This window comes from Homo sapiens, chromosome 6 (assembly GCF_000001405.40).
Source record: "Homo sapiens chromosome 6, GRCh38.p14 Primary Assembly".
Taxonomy (NCBI): domain Eukaryota; kingdom Metazoa; phylum Chordata; class Mammalia; order Primates; family Hominidae; genus Homo; species Homo sapiens.
Window position 1 is genome coordinate 8243387 of NC_000006.12, and position 21067 is coordinate 8264453.

General features: G+C 37.2%; 1 long non-coding RNA gene across 4 annotated transcripts in view; it reads left to right on the forward strand.

The window, feature by feature from the left end:
- The window catches only part of LOC105374910 (uncharacterized), a 102802-nt gene extending 85206 nt beyond the window's left edge, over positions 1-17596 (forward strand). For 3 of the 4 annotated variants that reach the window (XR_926441.3, XR_926440.3, XR_926443.3), the window contains one exon: positions 2454-2843. This is a non-coding gene — a long non-coding RNA (uncharacterized LOC105374910). Of the gene's footprint in view, positions 1-2453; positions 2844-17180 lie in introns of those variants that run through there. The other variant, XR_001743950.2, reaches the window with a different exon arrangement.
- The last annotated feature ends 3471 nt before the right edge of the window (positions 17597-21067 follow it).

A 21067-nucleotide genomic window follows, 5' to 3' on the forward strand; every position in this document is an offset into this window, starting at 1 on the left:
GACATCCTTCTCCCTCCTCCTCTTTCCCATTTCTTCACAATAAGCAAAACAACCTTGAGGGCTATACGCTTACAGGAGGAGGAGGAGAAAATAGAAGAGGAATATGGAAATTGGGAAAAGACTGCCAGTATATATACAGACTTGACTATTGTGAGACAAAGTAACCAATATAAGAAGCCACGCTTGCTCATTTCTGCTTGAACCCCCAACTCTGATGAAATGCAGCTCTCTGGAAGAATGCCTTGAAGACAAAACAGAATAGAGCACACAGCCTCCCCACGTCTCTTGCCTGAGTCATTACATTCCTTAAAAGATAAATGACCTCGCCTTGCCTTTTCCTACACATAAGATAACATCTGACAGGGTTAGTGATTATGCATCCACAATCTATAACCAAATGTACTTTAGTAATCTATAACCAGATGTACTCTTACACCCAAACTTTCATGAGATTTGCACTTACTGAATCTTCACCACCTGTATATAAACTGTGAGTTGTAGTACTGTGTTGGAGCAGTCTGACAGAACTGCCCCCAAGCTGTAGGCCTCCATCTATAGTTTTCAGTGAGGCTTCTAAATAAAACTTACTGTCATTTTTTCAATGGTCCTGGGTCCTCTGCTGAGCAACTGACATAGGGAAGGCACATCTGAGTAAGACAAGGGAGAGCACAGGTACACTTGAAAAAGAAAAGGAAACAGATGTAGTGACTGCTCTTCCTGACCCATGTTCACATAGCTATCTATGAATTGGTTTCTTCCTCTGTTCCCCGTCTGCTAACATTCATTCACTTATTCTTTTTTTTTTTTTTTTTTTTTTTTGACGCAGGGTCTTCCTCTGTCTCCCAGGCTGAAGTACAGCAGTGTGATCATAGCTCACTTCAGCCTCCACCTCCTGGGCTCAAGTGATCCTTCTGCCTCAGCCTCCCAAGTAGCTAGCATTACAGGCATGTGCCACCATGCCTGGCTAATGTTTCTTAAAAAATTTCTGTACATAGAGGGTCTCGCCATGTTGCACAGGCTGGTCTCGAACTCCTGGTCTCAAGCGATCCTCTTGCCTTGACCTCCCAAAGCAGTGGGATTACAGGCATGAGCCACCACACTCACCCCCACGTTTTTTTTCTTGGAGACAGGGACTCACTTTGTCATCCAGGCTGGAGTGCAGTGGTGTGATCACGGCTCCCTAGATCCTTGATCTCCTGGGCTCAAGCAATTCTCCTGCCTCAGCCTCCCGAGTAGCTGGGACTACAGGCATGCACTACCACGCATGGCTGGTTTTTTAAAAAATTTTTGTAGAGATAGAGTCTTGCTATGTTGCCCAGGCTGGTCTTGAACGTCTGGCCTCAAGCAAACTTCCTGCCTTGGCCTCCCAAAGTGTTAGGATTACTGGTGTGAGCCACTGCATCCAGCCCACTTATTCTTTCGTTCCACAGATTCTGGTGGACTCCCTCCTATGTGACTTGCCCTGAGCACTGGGGTACAGTGAAGAATGAAGTATAAATTAGATTATGGTGTAGGGGAAATTCCAACCAAATAGGAAAGGAAGCTATGAAAAGAGCCCACCTTCCTAAGCCCCAGTGGACTGTGGGGAGGGCGAGAAGAGTTTAGACAGCTGGGTGGTTAGGTGCCAGGAGCCTTTTTTCACTCCTCTCAGGCCTGAGATCTGAGCCATCAAGTTCTCTTGGGAGAAGTTTTAGACAGTCGGGCATGGTGTGGGGGAGGCTGCAGGTCCCTATGAACACTTATATCACAGTGATCCCAAAGTGAATTCCCCATAATCCCAGGAAGTGCCCAGCGTAGGACTCCACAGACACATTTGTTTGGCGAACACTCCATACTGCACAGTCCTGTAAGACAATGCTTGATGTGCATGCAGATCACCTGGGGATGATGCTAGCTCAGTAGGTCCATGTGGGGCCTGAGCATCCGCATTCCTAACCAGCGCTCCAGTGACGCGATGCTGCTGGTCCATAAGCCCTATTTTGAGCAACGAGGCTTCTGAGATTCTTTCTGCCTCTTGGTGTATTGAAGGCACTAAGACATCTTTTCATGAACCCAACTGTATTTGTCTAACATGGTCATTTACAAAGTGACTACAGCACAACTATGGGAGCTTTTGGGAGCATTTCAGGAAACTTTGCACTATTAGCCTCATGGTATTTCGCTGCATTATCAAGCAAGAATTCTGTTTATTGTGTGTGAGTGTGTGTGCATTGGAGTGTGGACGTGTGCCACAGAACTCTAGGTGGCAGAGTGTATTTTGCAAAAATAATTGACCACACTGTTTCCCATGTTATCTAAGAACCTCATTGACTCCTCCTCAAGAGGTGGCATGTATATTTCTTCCCCTTGAACCTGGGCTTGTGTGACAGTCTCGGCTAGTAGAGAGCGGCCAAAGTGTGATTTGTGATGTTAGGTCATAAAAGGTGATTCTGCTTCCACCTGCTCCCTCTCAGGACAATTGCTCTGAGCTTTCAGTCACCATGTGAGAAGTCTGGCTACCCTGAGGCCAGCACATGCAGAGACCACATGGAGAGATGAGAGGCAGAGAGAGCCGCCCAAGGAACTCCAGCTGTTCCAGCACCCAGCTGTTTGAATCCTCCCAGCCCAGGCACTAAACGTGAATGAAAAGCTCTCAAGACAACCTCAGCCCTCGGACCCAGCCACAGACTGATTGCCACTGTATGAGAGACCTCAGATGAAAACTGTCAAGTGGAGCCCGGCTAGCTAACAGATTTATAAGCAAAATAAGTGATTGTTATTGTTTCAAGCCACCATTTTGAAGTGGCTTTTCTGCAGCAATAGATGCCTGGAGGAGTCCTAATAATAAAAATTAATCAGATGGAGGATCTGCTTTTTTATTTTCTCTTAGGACTAAGGAAAGGCTTGGTATAATCTTTGAACTGAGATAAAGAATAAGTTACTCTTAAAATTTTCCAACAAATGGAGTCCTTATTGTCTGTAGTTAGTACCCAAAGCTTAGACACTTTCTCTCTACATACCCTTCCAAGGATAAGGCTGTATTTTGTAATGCCAGATGACACAATCTGATAAACAAGCAGACACCCATTAAAATGAATGAATGTCAAAATTTTTTCATGCTTATTTGTTATTAACGACTGAGAATGTGAAGGTGCAATTCAAATAGTTTATTATTGTTATAGGTTTGTGGCAATATATTACAGTTTACGCCTTGGCTTAGAAGTTGATTACAAGTTTTATGAGACTGAGTGCCTGTTATTGGCAATCTTGATGTTTTCTTTTTCCCTGTAACATGTCACAGACAATTGATTTATATGTAGTCAATGATTTTTTATACTATATCATTTCAATAAAAAAATTAAAGAAGAAAGTGTGTAGTAGGGAGTGGAAAGAAGACAATGAAGGCTGCATCAGTCATGGTGGGATTTGAAAATGTATTAATAATCTGCATATACTCTATGAAATCCATCTGAGAACGTTTTATGTTCTTTGCAAGAGACAAAACAAGTCATCAGAGACTTCTTATAAACACAGGTGGTGCTTATTAACTGAGAAATAAACATTTTACACTCCTGATGATTAGCTAGACAAGTTTTCATGTGCTCCTGCACTTTTGGGAAATGGTTTTTATTTTCTTTTCTATTTTTTTCTCTCAATTCTGATTACCTTCCTTCTATATGAACAGCTTGAGTTAGTGGTGCAGTGATACCTAAAATATCTCTGACAGATTTTGGGTACGGGGAAGATATTAGCAATCTATTTTACAATGATCATCATAATAAAATATGACACTCTGCAAATTTGAACAGATATGGCCATGCAGCCTTAATGCAAATAAACAAAGACTTCATATGTGAATAGGGAATTATGTTTGTATCTACAAATAATTGGCTAAATAGGGAACATCTAGTTTACCTGTTCTGTTTTATCTGTCATTACCACATATTGCTTCAGTGATTGTTCTTAAAATTGCCTGAGTCGACTGGTTATTTTGTGACTGTTTCAATTCATATGAAGGACAACAACAACAACACAAAACAAAAGAAAAATTAAGAGAATTTTGTGAATGAATAGGAACAAAATACACAAATGAAAAAGTCTTAATCATTCATCCAAATGAAGCTGAGTTTGGAGGTTGGTTTGATCACATATATACTCTTTGAGGAAGAAGGAGACTGTAGAGAAAGTTTTTGAAGGGATCTTAAAACACTTAAAAATTATAGTGTAAAGAGATCTGAATTTAAACCTCTGGAGTGTAGAGATGTGAGAAGTATAGATGGACATTTGGAGCATCTAGAGGCAAAGACACTGCATGACATTAGAAAACCTGGGTCAGAGTCTGAACAGAAAAACATGAATTTAATGCATGTTGTAGAGATGGTTTATAGGACAATCTTCAGGTGCAGGAGTCCTTTTACTATGAATAAGATTTACATCTCACAAGCCTTTTTTTTTTCCTTATAAAAGTTTTTAATCTTTTTTAAAATTATACTTTAAGTTCTAGGGTACATGTGCACAACGTGCAGGTTAGTTACATATGTATACATGTGCCATGTTGGTGTGCTGCACCCAGTAACTCATCATTTAACATTAGGTATATCTCCAAATGCTATCCCTCCCCGCTCCCACCACCCCACAATAGGCCCCGGTGTGTGATGTTCCCCTTCCTGTGTCCATGTGTTCTCATTGTTCAATTCCCACCTATGAGTGAGAACATGCCGTGTTTGTTTTTTTTTGTCCTTGTGATAGTTTGCTGAGAATGACGGTTTCCAGCTTCATCCATGTCCCTACAAAGGACATGAACTCATCATTTCTTATGGCTGCATAGTATTCCATGGTGTATATGTGCCACATTTTCTCAATCCAGTCGATCATTGTTGGGCATTTGGGTTGGTTCCAAGTCTTTGGTATTGTGAATAGTGCCGCAATAAACATACGTGTGCATGTGTCTTTATAGCAGCATGATTTGTAATCCTTTGGGTATATACCCAGTAATGGGATCGCTGGATCAAATGGTATTTCTAGTTCTAGATCCCTGAGGAATCGCCACACTGACTTCCACAATGGTTGAACTAGTTTACAGTCCCACCAACAGTGTAAAAGTGTTCCTATTTCTCCACATCCTCTCCAGCACCTGTTGTTTCCTGACTTTTTAATGATCACCATTCTAACTGGTGTGAGATGGTATCTCATTGTGGTTTTGATTTGCATTTCTCTGATGGCCAGTGATGATGAGCATTTTTTCACGTGTCTTTTGGCTTCATAAATGTCTTCTTTTGAGAAGTGTCTGTTCATATCCTTTGCCCACTTTCTGATGGGGTTGTTTGTTTTTTTCTTGTAAATTTGTTGGAGTTCTTTGTAGATTCTGGATATTAGCCCTTTGTCAGATGAGTAGATTGCAAAAATTTTCTCTCATTTTGTAGGTTGCCTGTTCACTCTGATGGTAGTTTCTTTTGCTGTGAAGAAGCTCTTTAGTTTAATTAGATCTAATTTGTCAATTTTGGCTTTTGTTGCCATTGCTTTTGGTGTTTTAGACATGAAGTCCTTGCCCATGCCTATGTCCTGAATGGTATTGCCTAGGTTTTCTTCTAGGGTTTTTATGGTTTTAGATCTAACATTTAAGTCTTTAATCCATCTTGAATTAATTTTTGTATAAGGTGTAAGGAAGGGATCCAGTTTCAGCTTTCTACATATGGCTAGCCAGTTTTCCCAGCACCATTTATTAAATAGGGAATCCTTTCCCCATTTCTTGTTTTTGTCATGTTTGTCAAAGATCAGATAGTTGTAGATATGCGGCATTATTTCTGAGGGCTTTGTTCTGTTCCATTGACCTATATCTCTGTTTTGGTACCAGTACCATGCTGTTTTGGTTACTGTAGCCTTGTAGTATAGTTTGAAGTCAGGTAGCATGATGCCTCCAGCTTTGTTCTTTTTGCTTAGGATTGACTTGGCAATGCAGGCTCTTTTTTGGTTCCATATGAACTTTAAAGTTGTTTTTTCCAATTCTAATCTCACAAGCCTTTGTATCAATTCAATTTCCTATTCAAAGTGCTGTAGAAATATTGTATATGAGCACAGACTGGTGTGTATGAAGGTGAGCAAGCACAAAATATTACTTTAGTTAAATACATAAACATCTATCTATCTATCTATCTGTCATCTATCTATCATCTCTCTCTCTCTCTCTCTCTAATTCAACATTATGGCATAGAAGAGGATAATCTAAAACCATCCAGTATTAATTGAGATGAGATAATAGCTAAAGAAAAATGAATTGTATAAAAAAGTAGATGTGTGCATCCAAGCAGGGGACCCAGAGTGCAAATGATTGAGAGACAGAAGCCTGGATAATTGGTCCTGGCTATTAGAAGCCATTTGTCAGGGTGGGGTGCCTCCTAGTCAGATGAGAACAAAGAAACTTCCACCTGCTGCAAATAATTCAGTAACTGACAGCAAAGAACAGGTTTCTGGAAAGTAATCACTTTCCACACTATATAATGGAATGGACTCTTCCAGATGAGGGGTTTAAAACTCAGCACAAGTAACTCCAAGTTGAATAAGGTCTCAGAGAACTTTCACCTCTGAAATACTTAAGGATCACTTCTCTTATCAGTTTATCTGCCCATTTGCTCAGGGAACTAGATAGACCTTCTATCATCCATGGATAAGCCTCCTTGGCTGACATTAAATGAACCAAGAGCTGTGAGAGGATAGAGGGAGGAAAATAAATGTCTGCTAAAGAAGCTTTGAGCCTTTTAGTTTCTAGTTTATTATCAATCATATTTAGAATTAAATATCTACTAGGAGAAATGTTAAACATAATTTGGAGTTTGAGATATAGAGCCAAGACCGTGCAGAATATTCAATTAAGACTGTTTTGTCTCTTAGCAAAGGAATTTCTGGCTGAAGTAGTGGCTCAAGAAAAATGTACAGAGGCGTAATGATGGATGAGATTCTTTCATTCACCTGAGTATTTATTGAGCACATACTACATGTTCAGCATCTGTGAGTCTTGCTTTGGGAATGAAAACAAATGCAAGTATTATTTTGAAGAGAGAAGTAGAAGTTGATAATATTTGCTGTGTATTTCAGTAGAGGCAGTGGAGAGGTGTCAGTATAAAGTGCCTCAAATTTAACACCTAGGATTTTGTTTTCTGGAGAATAAAGGATGGGATACCTGTCTATTTAAGGTGAGGGTGAATTGAGACTGAAGAATTAAAAAAAGGTAAAATAAAAAATGTAGTGAGGAAAAAAAAGGCAAGTATATCGATTATACAGATAGGTAGTGAGGAAAAAAAAGAAAAAAAAGGCAAGTATATCTGTTAGACAGATAGGTGGTTTTCACTCAGTTTCTTCTGTAAACTTCTAATAGTCCCTAGTTGTTGGCACAATGTCTGTAAGTAAAAGGGCAGTTTCAAACAAGTAACAATGAAATTATTTTATTCATATACATTACTCAAATTTGAAAGTTTTTGATAATCACAGAAATTCCATTATATAAGTTGCATGACATCCCCAATTTTAGAAAATCACAAAAAATATGGTCAAAAGTGATTAATTGGTAATGATATATTAGCTCCTATAAACTCAGCACTTTCACAAATAATAAAAAATATCCTTGAGACAAAATATTAAAAAACAACTACTTTAAGGCACCAGGGAGCAAATAAAAGCAGGCAGATACTAGAGAAGCACTAAAAGCTAAACCAAGGAAGAGAACTGAGTGAGTCCCACATTCTTAAGGCTTTTAGCTTGAGGGTAAGTCCCAGTTGTTGTCCTGTCAGGTTGTCAAAAATGGATAAAAACCCATCATCCTACTGGCTTAAAGAACCACAGGACAGAAGTCCACATATTAACAGATAAGCATTTTAAAGCAGCTATTACAATTATGCTCAAGGGTAGGGGAATATATACTTAAAATAAACGAAAATATTGGAAATCTCACCAGAGAATTATAAACCATAAAAAGTGAAATAAATGGAAATTACATAAGTAAAAAATACAATATCTGAAATTTAAAAATCACTGTATGTGCTTGACAGCATGCTGTATACAACAGAAGAAAGAGTTCGTGACCTTGAAATTATCCAAGCTGTAGGCCAAAGAGATAATGATTTAAACAGAAATGAATTTTAAAAACCCACATGAAACCATGGAAAATATCAAAGTATCGAATATATGAGTAATTTGAGTCCCAGAAGAAAAGAAGAGTGAGAATTGGCGGAAAAGTACTTGAAGTGGGCTCAGTATAAAAAGAAAATATCTAAACCAGCTAGAGAAAAATGACATTCTACATACAATAGGACAACATTCTGAATAATCACTGATTTCTCATGAGGAACTCTGGGGACCAGAAGGAAATGGAATAACTTCTTTAAACTGCTGAAAGAAAAATACAAGCTTTCAACTCCAAATTCTATATTCAGTGAAAATATCCTTTAAAATGAAGGCAAACAAAAAGCATTTTCAAATAAAAAACAATCAAGAGAATTTGTCAACAGCAGACATGCACTAAAAATGCTAATGAAGTTCTTCTGACTGAAAGAAAATAATACTGGATGTAAATTTATATTTTCAGGAAAAAAATATTAGAGATGGTAGATACCTGGGTAAATATAAAATAAGTTTCTTCTTACTTTCTTTTACACTACATAGGTCTGTTTAAAGTACTGATTACACAAAATTCTTGTGGGGGCATATATAGTCTACAGATGTAATACGTATACCAACTGTATCGTAGAATATAGGAAGAGATACAATATTGATTGTAAAAGGACTGAAAAGTTTATAGTGTGTATCGTAATCCCCATAGTGTCCAATGAATAATATGCAAAGCAGTAAAGCTAAAAAGCTGACAGAAAAATAAAATAATTTTTTAAAAAAATTCAAAGAATCTAAAATAAGGCAAGAATAGAGGAACTAGGGAGCAGGAACTTAAAAGGACAGATGGTGAATAAATAATAAAATGATAGGCCTAATTCCAATCATATCAACAGTGCACTAAATATTAATGAACTAAACACTCCAATTAAACTGCATAGATGATCAAACTGGATAATAAGCAATACTTAACTATGTACTGTATACAAAAGTGCTCTAATTATAAAGCTATAGACAGATCAAAAAGAAATGGATAGAATAAGATATACTGTGCAAATAGTAATGATAGTTGAGTGGAGTGGAATTCATATCAGATAAAAAAGACTTCAAGACAAAGAGCATTACCAGAGATAAAGATATTTTGTAATGATAAAATACTTTGTTTTTCAGGAAGCGATAGCCATCTCAAATGTGTTTAAGTCTAATAATGGGTTTCAAAATATGCTAATCAAAAATTGATAGAATTAAAGGGAGAAATAGTCAATTCCATGAAAACACGAGACTGCAACATGCCTCTCTTAGCAATTAATAGAACAACTAGACAAAGAAATCAATAAAGTCATTGCTGTGGTTTGAATATTTGTCCCCTCCAAAATTCATGTTGAAAATTAATCCCTAATGTGATGATTTTGGGAAGCGGAGCTTACTGGGAGGTGTTTGGATTATGGGGGCAGGTACCTCACAAATTGCTTGATGTTGCTTTCGAGGTAGTGGGTTCTTGCTCGTGGGAGACTGGGTTAGTTCTTATGGGAATGGATTGGTTTTCTCAAGACTGGAAGTTGTTATAAAGCCAGGACACCCCTCAGATTTTGTCTGTGAATGTGTCCACCCCCGATCTGTTACGTTGTGATGCAGCACGAAAGCCCTCACCAGAAGCCGGGACCATGACCATGAACTTCTCAGCTTGCAGAACTATGAACTAAATAAACCTTTCTATAAAAACAATAAATGACCCAGTCTCAGGTATTCCCTTACAGTAACACAAAATGAACTAAAACAAACATAGAATACCAGAACAATGCTATCAACCACCTTGACTTGATTGATGTTTATAGAATGTTTTAACCAACAAATGCAGATTACATATTCTCAGCTGTCAATGGTATGTTCACCAATATAACATGAAGGTTAGCTGTGCAGTAAAAATTTCAATAAATTTAAAAGGATTGAAATCACACAGAGTATGTTCTCTAATTATAATAAAATTACATCAAAAATAGAAAACAATAAAATCTATAAAAACCCTAAAACCTATAAAAACCCTAAATGTTGGGAAATTAATCAGCTGTTTTCTAAGCAATCTAAAGGTCAAAGAAAAAATCAGAGAGACGTTTGAAGATATTTAAAAATGAATAATGGAGTACAACATATTAAAATTTGTCAAATACAGCTAAAGCAGGCTTAGAGGGAAATTTATAGCTTTAAATACTTCTGTTAAAATGTATATGAAAATCAGGCTGGGCACAGTGGCTTATACCTGTAATCCCAGCACTTCGGGAGGCCAAGGCGGGAGAATTGTCTGAACCCAGAAGTTTCAGATCAACCTGAGCAACATGCTGAGACCCTGTCTCGAAAATATATGAGAGATATATATGTATATATATTATATATGTGTATATAGTATATGTATATATTATATATGTGTATATAGTATATGTATATATTATATATGTATATATAGTATATGTATATATTATATATGTATATATATTGTATATGTATATATTATATATGTATATATTGTATATGTATATATTATATATGTATATATTGTATATGTATATATTATATATGTATATATTGTATATGTATATATTATATATGTATATATTGTATATGTATATATTATATATGTATATATTGTATATGTATATATTATATATGTATATATTATATATGTATATATATTATATATGTATATATTATATATGTATATATATTGTATATGTATATATTATATGTATATATTGTATATATATTATATATGTGTATATTGTATGTGTGTATATTATATATGTGTATATTATACACATATATGTTATATATGTGTATATTATACACATATATGTTATATATGTGTATATTATACACATATATGTTATATATGTGTATATTATACACATATATGTTATATATGTGTATATTATACACATATATGTTATATATGTGTATATTATACACATATATGTTATATATGTGTGTATATTATATATATGAAAACCAAAGGAACTAAAAGCAAAAGCATTTCTTAAAAAAATGACAAAATTGGAAGACTTTTTGTTATATATATATTTTAATACTTTGCGACTTCAAAATTTATCATAAGGCTCTAATCATCAAACTGGTGTGATATTTGCGAAAGGATAGACAAACAGATTAACCACACAGAATTGAGTTCAGAAAGAGACCCTTACATCTGGATAAAGTTTATACAGGAGTTTTCTGTACTTTTCTTTCAATTTTTCTGATTCTGAAACTATTTCAAAATAAAAAACTTAAAGAAATATAAAAATGTTACATGATTTGAACAATAACACACTGGAGTAGATACTAATTGAATGAATAAAAGAAATCCGTAAAACAGCTATGCTAAAAACAATAGTGTTTATTGTTCTGAAATGTAAAATTTCCTAAAGATTCATCTGTTGTCCTTTCTTCCATTTACAGAAAAACTTACATATTACAGCTGAGAATGTGTATTTTAATGTGCAATGAATACTCGTGTTAAAATCTAAAAGCATACACATTTAAAAAATGAAGCCCCAACAAACCACTTGGGAAAATATTCTTGAATAAAAATGAAAGCAAATCCATAATTACACATTGCAGTAGATGCTGTTGATGCTCATCCTTAGCCCCCCAGCCCTTGCCTAAGTTCACTTTCAGCTGAGATGAACAGCATCCATGAGCAGTGATAGTTTCCTGCCTCAAACCACCATGGCTTTCTATTTCTTAGCTTTAAGGATTTCTTCAGTGTGCTTTGCTCACAGGCATGGCCGCCTAGAATTACTGAGGATTTAACACCCTCAGGAATGTTTACGGGTACATATCCCAGCTTTCCCTTTCCTCAATGGGACATTTCCAGGACATGCTATCAACTTTTTTTCAGAGATGGAGTTCCCGTTGCTCATAGCATTAAACCACTTATTAATTCACTCTTTATTGGCTTTTCTCCTGCCCATTATCACTTTCTCTACTTCCTCTTTTATGCTTCCCAGAATCACATTCTAGATAACTTTCTACGCCCAAGTACTTGTTCAGGGTCTGCTTTCTGGGAACCCCAAGCTACAACACACGGTATCTTAAAATAGTGTGATGAAGATCACTACCTCTCAAAAGCAATAGGATGTTACTTAACAGGATTTGGACTCTGATGCAAATTTGTAGCAGTATAAATTTCTATTATTGAAAAAGAAAAAATAAGAATTATACAGTTTATTTAAAAGCTTAATAACCAATGTAGAAATAAGAATATTATAGAAATAAACACAACCACAAAATAAATTTGTTAGAAAGCAAATACAAAATTAAGTTACAAAATCAAAGAATGTGCCCTTTGGAAAAAAGTTAAAAAGCAACAAATGTCTGAAAATTCTGATAACAAAAAATGAAAGAAGACAAGCAAAATAGGAAAGCAATTATTACATCAGATATTGAATAAATCAAATAATTTAAAGAGAATGCTGTGTATAGACCTATTAACATAAGTCTGTTAATAATTTGGTGGCAAAATAATTTTAAAGGAAAATATGAATTATTATAATCAACTCAAGAAATAGATAACTGAATATTGTGATGAAAGAAATTAACTTTTTGAAGAAAAAAATGCTCTGCAGCTGGATTATTCTGACATAATTTTTCTCAAACTTTTAAATCATAGCTCTTTCTAAGCTATACAAGCTAATCATAGATGGAAAACTTTCCAATTCCTTTCATAAAAATAGAATACATTTGATATCAAAACTTGAAAAGGATAAATCAAAGAGGAGAAAAAACATTGAACAATTTTTCTTCTGAATATGCTTAGGATAATGAAAAATATCTACAATCAGAAGGTAATAGTTTACTAGGCAGTAAAGAGCTAGAGGCATTGCCATTATAATTTAGAACAAAACATGGATGTATGCTGCTGCCACTATCAATTTATATTGTCTTGAAACCTCCAGCTATTAAAAAATAAGACCAAAAACAAGGATAGAAGATATAACATGTTTGTTACTGAGGAAAAAAAAAACCCTATTATTGTTTGCCAATGATAGTTTATCTAGAAATTGCAAGAGGTCAACTGAAAAACTGTCCAAACTAATAAGGTTAGTTAGTTGATTAATTAGATAAATGGTTCTTGTAACAAGGAGAGCCTGAATATGATAGATTAAATAAGATGGGAATCTATTTTCACCTGTCACACTAGTCCAGAGTTCAGTGGTTCAAGAATGATACAACTGCTCTGCTCCACATGGTGATTCAGAGACCCAGGTTCTTTCTATCTTCCTGACAATAGTCCCCTAGGATGGGAGTTGGCAAACGTTTTCTGTAATAAGCCAGATAGGCTTTGAGATTCATATAGTCTCTGACACATTTTCTTTTTCTCCCTATCCCATCTCCTCTCGCTCTCTCTCTCTCTTCCTTTTGTATTTATCTTTTTACCACCATCTAAAAAGGTAAAACGATTCTTAGCTCACGGGCCATACAAAAGTCAGGCTACAGGTCAGATCTGATCCACAGGCCATAGTTTGCTAAATTCTGCTCTAGAATGCTGTTTAATTCTTTGTGCTTAAAAATGATTCATCTCAAGCTTGTGCTCCAGGATAAAAACACAAATGTTTTTAGTGATAACTTGGAAGTTGCAAATATCACTTCTATCCACATCCCATTGGCCAGACATTTCACCTGCTGAGCTTCAAGAGGGTTTGGGAAATCTGGGTAGCTCTGTGACCAAGAAAAGCAGAAAAACACACTTGGATGGGACAAGTATAAATTACTGGTTAAAATAATTTTTTTAAAAAATTAATACTTTCCTAAGTATCAATAATTTCCAGTTAGAAAATATAATGGAAAATGGGTCTTTTGCAAATTGTCAATAGCAAATTGTCTCTAAAAACTACCTAAAACATTTTGAACCTGAAATGTTCAGGATCTGCCTGAGTAAATATAGGAACATATAATAAAGAAAGTAAAAGTTGACAAATTAAAAGAAAGACAAATGAAGTTGCTAAACGGAAAACTGAGTATTTAAAGTATGTATGTCAAATTTCTTTAATTAATTGATAGATTTAATATAATTCTAATTAAAATTCTGGCCAGGTGCAGTGTCTCACACTTGTAATCCCAGCATTTTGGGAGGCCGAGGCAGGCAGGTCGCTTGAGCCCGGCAGTTTGAGACCAGCCTGGGTAACATGGTGAAACCCTGTTCCTACTAAAAATACAAAAATTAGCAAGGCATGGTGGTGCATGCACCTGTTGTTCCTGCTACTTGGGAGGCTGAGGTGGGAGGATCGCTTGAGCCCGGGAGGTTGAGGCTGCAGTAAGCTATGATTGCACCACTGCACTCCAGGCTGGGTGACAGAATGAGATCATGTTTCAAAAAACAACAGACAACAAACAACACCACCACCAGCAAAATTTCAACAAAATTAATGTGTGAGTTTGACAAGGTGATTCTGAAATGTGTATAGAAAATAAATGTATGTAGAAAAATAAATGGGAGCAAATTCTTAGAAAAAATTATTTAAAAATAAATGAAATGAGGTGTCATCGGTCAAAAGGGGGCTCAGGAGACATAGCATAGTTGGAACAGGGAAAACTCATTGCCCTTTCTAATAATTTTTACGTCACAAAATCTTGGGAAATAGGAGATCTTTCTTTCATTTCCAACCACTTTCTGTGTGACCTTAGGCAAGTTATTTAATCAATCAGAGTATCAATTTTATGGCAAAATGAACCCAATACCACATATTTTATAGGGGTTTATTAAGGGATCCGGTTTGTTCTGTGCCACTTCTTTACCGTCCTATCTTAGAAGGGAAAGACTGCATCCAACTAAAATGGTATCAAATCCACTGTTCCTAGTGTAGTATGCCACCTAGGATCTCAATACATGCCTATGGTTACTGATGATGATGATGATGATAAAGAAGGGGAGGAAGAAGGGGAAGAGGAGGGAGAGGAGGAAGAAGGGGAAGAGGAAAAGGAGGAGAAAATAACTGATATGCTGCAGAATTGTACCCAGCAATTCATCTAGGCAGCACTTGCCAGTGTCGGGAAAGAAAGCTGTTCTGAATTTTAGTTCTATTCCTAGCCATATAATATTAGGAATGTTACTTAATTTCTCTGTGCCTCTATTTTTTCACTGCTTAAATTTAGATAATAATGCTTAACTTGCCTGCTGTGATGATGGTAACAATAACAAACAATTTATTGATCAGTTGTTCTGTCCTCGGCACAAAGTGCTTATAATACATGAAATCATTGAATTCACACAAATCTTGAGAGGTAGGTACCATCGTCATCATCATCATCATCATCATTATGGATATTATTTGCATTTTGACAGAGGAGGAAGCAGAGGTAAAGAGATGACCATAACTTGCCAAAAATCATGCAGTTATTGGGTTTGGTATCAGACCCAGAACTTGGGCAGCTCTTTACCATGAGGGGACCATCTGCATAAATGCCCAGCAATGGGTACTTACCCAGCCCAGGTAATAAATAATAACTAGGCGGGGCGCGGTGGCTCACACCTGTAATCCCAGCACCTTGGGGGGCCGAGGCGGGCGGATCACGAGGTCAGGAGATCAGACCATCCTGGCTAACACGGTGAAACCCCGTCTCTATTTAAAATACAAAAAAATTAGCCAGGTGTGGTGGCGGGCGCCTGTAGTCCCAGCTACTCCAGAGGCTGAGGCGGGAGAATGGTGTGAACCTGGGAGGCAGAGCTTGCAGTGAGGCAAGATCGCGCCACTGCACTCCAGCCTGGGTGACAGAGTGAGACCCGTCTCAAAAAATAAATGAACAAATAAATAAAAAATAAATAATAACTAACAACTATTGCCTCTGGGTACTCACCTTACAGAGGCAGTCAATAGAAGTTGCACATTGCAATCTAGTTGTTCTGTCTTGTGAAATCTTTATTTAAACAAAAGATTGTTTAAAGGCTCAGTGAGTCCTTGAGGACAGGGAGTGTGTCTTGTTTGCAAAGCTCTTGGGACAGTGCTTGGCTTGTGGTAAATATTGAATAAATGGGGTGATCAAGGTGGTGGTTCATCATTGTCACTAAAAGGTCTAGACAAGTGCCTGGTTCTTTATCTGCCACTAAATACATGTTTATTGATTGAATGAATACGTCCAACAAATTTCTTAATTTCAAATGTCTTTTATATTCCTAGTTTTTTTCCTCGAGTTATGCCTTTAAAGCAGTGCAAGATATGCCATTGTGAAAAGGCGTATAGTCTTAAATCAATGTTTGTTTACTACAATATCTTTCCTATTTAAATTTGGTTAAAACTAGTGAATTTGTAGGGGAATGGTAACAGTCTGCAATACAGAAGGCGAAATCTTAATTCACTTCAAATCAGCAAACATTGCTGTTTAGGGATAGTAATTGATAACTGTTTAGAATTGTGGTTGGAGAGTTTTATTACAGGTATGCATTATAACCAGTTTCACACAATCCAGTGGCATAAATTTCAGCAAAAGTGATGAATTTCAAAGAAAACATATCTTTTATTTGTAGTATTTCCAATCTGACTGTTTTCAGTTGTGAATCAAAAAACATTTGATTTGAGACCATGAGTATAGCAATACTGTTTTATAAGAGTGTTGTGGGCTCAGTAATGTTCATTTATTTTAATCCTCTCTATAAATTTTGACAGAAGCCTCTTTATGAACACATACTTTATGAGTTCCACCAAATAGAAATGTCCCAGAAAAACATTATTTTATTGGGGTAGACTAAATGTTTCGCTGGGCAAAAATAAAACCACTGACGATAATAGATAAGTTGAAAATTTGTGTTTCATTACAGAGTTTTGTTTGCTAGAATAGAGGGTGCCCATATTTCTGAAAATTGGGACTGGTTTCCAGAACTTTGCTGTACCATTTTTAGATTCCCTTTCTTTAGCTATAGTCTAATTTACTAATCACTGGGAAATGGGGTGGCCCTGAAAGAGAGAAGTTACCCTACTTTATCAATTCTTGGAGAGATGAATCCTTAAAAATGAGAGAAATATTAGTTGGGGGGGCGGTGGAGAGAGAGATAGAGGAAGAAAGAGAGACAGAGAGCCAGCAGAGCTGGAAAAATAATCCTTTGCTTTCTATATTAGCTTCCAAGATCATCCCCATATAGCTGTTCGAGACCTCAATTTATTGAACCTAATGGAGATGAGTGACAGAATGGTGAGACTGATGATGATTATGATGTGCAGCTTCACTGAGGTCATGGGCTTGGTTAATTCCCTTCCAAAGGGATGGAAGGAGAGAAAGAGAGCAAGAAGGGTGAGTACAGTCAATTCAGCCCCTCATTTTCAAGCTAACTGGGAACTGTTTATAATGAATGTCCCTGCCTCCATCAAGGGCATTTCTTCCATTTAACGAGCACGCAGGAAGCAGACATTGCTCAAGTACAAGGGTTCAGTTTGCAGTGAGCCACAAATCACATTTCATTTATCAGGCCCTACAGATGACAGGATATCATCGAATCCCTGGAGAGCCATATTCATTAAAAAGAAATCTTAAGTAATTACAACAATTAATTGACTTGAAACAGTTTCTGGTGGATAAGGTTTACATAATTCATTTGCCAGACAAAACAAGCCTGATCAAATCTGGGAACATGTTATTTAGAAATGTCCCACTATCTGACAAGGTACCTTCGTGGAAAGGTGTTTATCATTGGGATCCTTTTTTTTTTTTTTTTCTTAAAAGGAAAGAATAATTTTTGAACAAGAAATGGGTATCTGAAAATGTCTAACAGACTTTATTTTGAGCCCATAAAATGGTGCTACAGCACCTCTTGACTTACCGTTGTGACTAAAACTGATGAATGAAAATGACGATGGGTTGTATTAATTGAGGACTCTCTGAGTTTATGGTTTTGAGGATGAAGTTTGAGTTGGATCCAAGACAAAGGCCTTCCAAAAAGCTAAACAACTATTTAGGACAAGATCCAAGGCCCAGTTTAAGAACTCCATTATCAACAAAATAAGATGCACAAAGAACTACTCTTGTCATTAATATTTTGCCAAAATTTTCAGCCATTAGTCATAAATATTTTAGCTCCAATGTTTTATTTTATTTTATTTTATTTATTTATTTTGAGATGGAGTTTTGCTCTGTCACCAGGCTGGAGTGTGGTGGCATGATCTCGGCTCATTGCAACCTCCACCTCCCGGGTTCGAGCAATTCCCCTGCCTCAGCCTCCCGAGTAGCTGGAACTACAGGTGTGCGCCACCACACTCAGCTAATTTTTTTGTATTTTAGTAGAGATGGGGTTTCACCATGTTGGCCAGGATGGTCTCAATCTCTTGACCTTGTAATCCACCCACCTCGGCCTCCCAAAGTGCTGGGATTGCAGGTGTGAGCCACCGTGCCTGGCTAGCCCCAATATTTTAAAAGGTGGGGCCTGTGATTAAATTTAGAAAGGGATATCACTGAAGAGCCATAACAAATAACCTTTTATGTACTGCAAAATATGATTTTCCAACCACTCAGTGACACCTGCAACATAATATAACCACATTATTAGCCTTCTGCTATATCAACGTTTATTTTGGAGAAATGATTTAGAGAGGTTCACATAATGAAACACCATTCTCTAATACCACTCTGAGTTATCTTATTGGGGTCATAGGAGAATGGATGATGGTAACTCTTAGGAAAGCAAGAAAGAAAAGCATATACTACAGAATTTTTGAGACTGCTATATCTTATTTCACGACCCCAGTGAGGTTTACTAAGACATCTGGCTTTTAGAACTCACAGTCTCATATAAAGGGCTAAAAGTTGGATGGGCATTACACCCAAGAGTGATAGTTTCTTAGGTTTGGTTCTCCCAAATCAAGCCATGTATCGGCTGCCTCAGTAGCTCCTAAGAAGCTCACTAAATATATGAACACAGCACCCAGGGAAGACACATGGAAAAAGAATCACCAGGGTGGGCTTGAGCCTCTACTGTTTCGACAGTCATCCCATGACCATCAGTGAGTGAATGTTTGGAATCATTGAAAAACCTGTAGAATAATTTGCATTTTTTTGGTGTTTTTAGACATTATTCTATTTTCCCCCTCCAGATTTCCCTTTCTGTGCCACTTGTTGAAATGTTGCGCATTTCTGGACCCTAAATTTACAAGAAGTTGCAAGGGTATGGGTTCTGTCCATCCGACAAGCCTTAAAGAGCCCCCAGAGCTGCAGCTATAAAATGAATAATGTTTCTAAAAATTAGTTCCATATTTTCTTGAATTTCTTTATAGATAGATAGATTTTTATGTTAGTCTGTTTTTTCACATTCATAATTGCCATGTGGCTTAACAAAAATAACTCCCTTCTCTTTGCTAAGATTTTCTAATTTGTTATTTGTTTGAAGATAATCTGATGGATTGCGTATATGTTTTCTGATGACTGAGTTAAAATCCTTTTCAGATCATTCCAGCATTGGATTCAACTGAAGTTGATGTGAGTTGGCTGTCTCTTCTCATTCAAGTTGTGATTTTCTTGGTATGACGGGAAATTTCTATTGCATCCTGGACATTTTGGCTATTATGTTGAGCGACACTGGATCCCATTTAAATCTTTTATTTTGGCAGGTAGTCACCTCGTATAGGTTAGTTCTCAAGGATCTTGCCTAATTTGGTAGGCTGTGGTTCCAACAGTAGCTTAATTTCCTTCCTTCCTTCCTTCCTTCCTTCCTCTCCTCCTCCTTTTCTTTCTTTCTTTCTTTCTCTTTCTTTCTTTCTTTCTTTCTTTCTTTCTTTCTTTCTTTCTTTCTTTCTTTCTTTTTCTTTCTTCTTTCTCTTTCTTTTTCTTTCTCTCTCTGTTTCTCTCTTTCTCCTTTTTTCCTTTCCTTTCCTGTCTTTTCCTTTCCTTTCCTTTCCTTTCCTTGTTTCCTTTCCTTTCGTTTCCTTTACTTTTTTGACAGCGTCTCACTCTGTCGCCCAGGCTGGAGTGCAATGGCGTGATCTTGGCTCATTGCAACCTCTGCCTCCCAGGATCAAGCCATTTCCTGCCTCAGCCTCCCGAGTAGCGAGACTACAGGCACCTGCCACCACACCTGGCTAATTTTTGTATTTTTAGTAGAGATGGGGTTTCACCATGTTGGCCAGGCTAGTCCTCAAACACCTGATATCAAGTGATCCGCCCCCCTCTGCCTCCCAAAGTGCTGGGATTACAGGCATGAGCCACTGCACCCAGCCTGTAGTTTAATTTTCTGAGCCTTTGTGGTGTTATTTGTCTGCTTGGCTTATACGTTGCCAGCGAGGCTCTCACTGGTTCCTGCTAGGGCTGCTAGAGGGGCTGAGGGGCTTCCCCAGGGGAGCCTTCCCCATGTCTACCTTGGTGGGGAAGGGAAGTTCCCATTGGAATGGGGACGGGGCTTCCCTGACCAGCTAATTGTTGCTCTGGTATTTCTCACTGGGGTAGAGAAGTCTCAAGCCCTGCAGGGCAGGAGAGCATCTCTTCTGGTATTGTTAGCGAGGCTCCGGGATCAGGCATCCAGTCCCCTTGCCATAGTAAATGGTGCAGGTTTGCCTCCTATTGCAGGAGGAATTCCTGTTTATTCCAGGAGAGAAATGAGGCTTCCTGGGCTGCCTTCTGTTGCTAGGTTGGGGTCAAGAAATGCTGGGTCTGAGTCAGCAAGTCTGAGTCCTGAGTTGGTTGGGAGGATGTAAGGTGCCCTGCCCCTGTGATGTTCCTCCAGTCCTGGGACCCCAAACCTGGTGGCTTTCATCTCACCACCTTTCAGCGTTCTCCTTTGGTTGCCTCTTGAGCTACTTCTAGGATTTATAGTTATAATGAGTGGGGGAAAGAAGGGAGAAATGTGTCTAGGTTATGAATAGGTTTCTAAAATTAATTTCCCATGGAAAGTCCCAAGGATAGATTATTAAAAATAATTTCAAAGCAAAGCTTACTGTTGTGATATGCTAACATGTGGCCCCAAAGATTTTTTGAAGATAATTTCCTGTGATGGTTTTTAAATGAGATAAGATGTATTAATAAA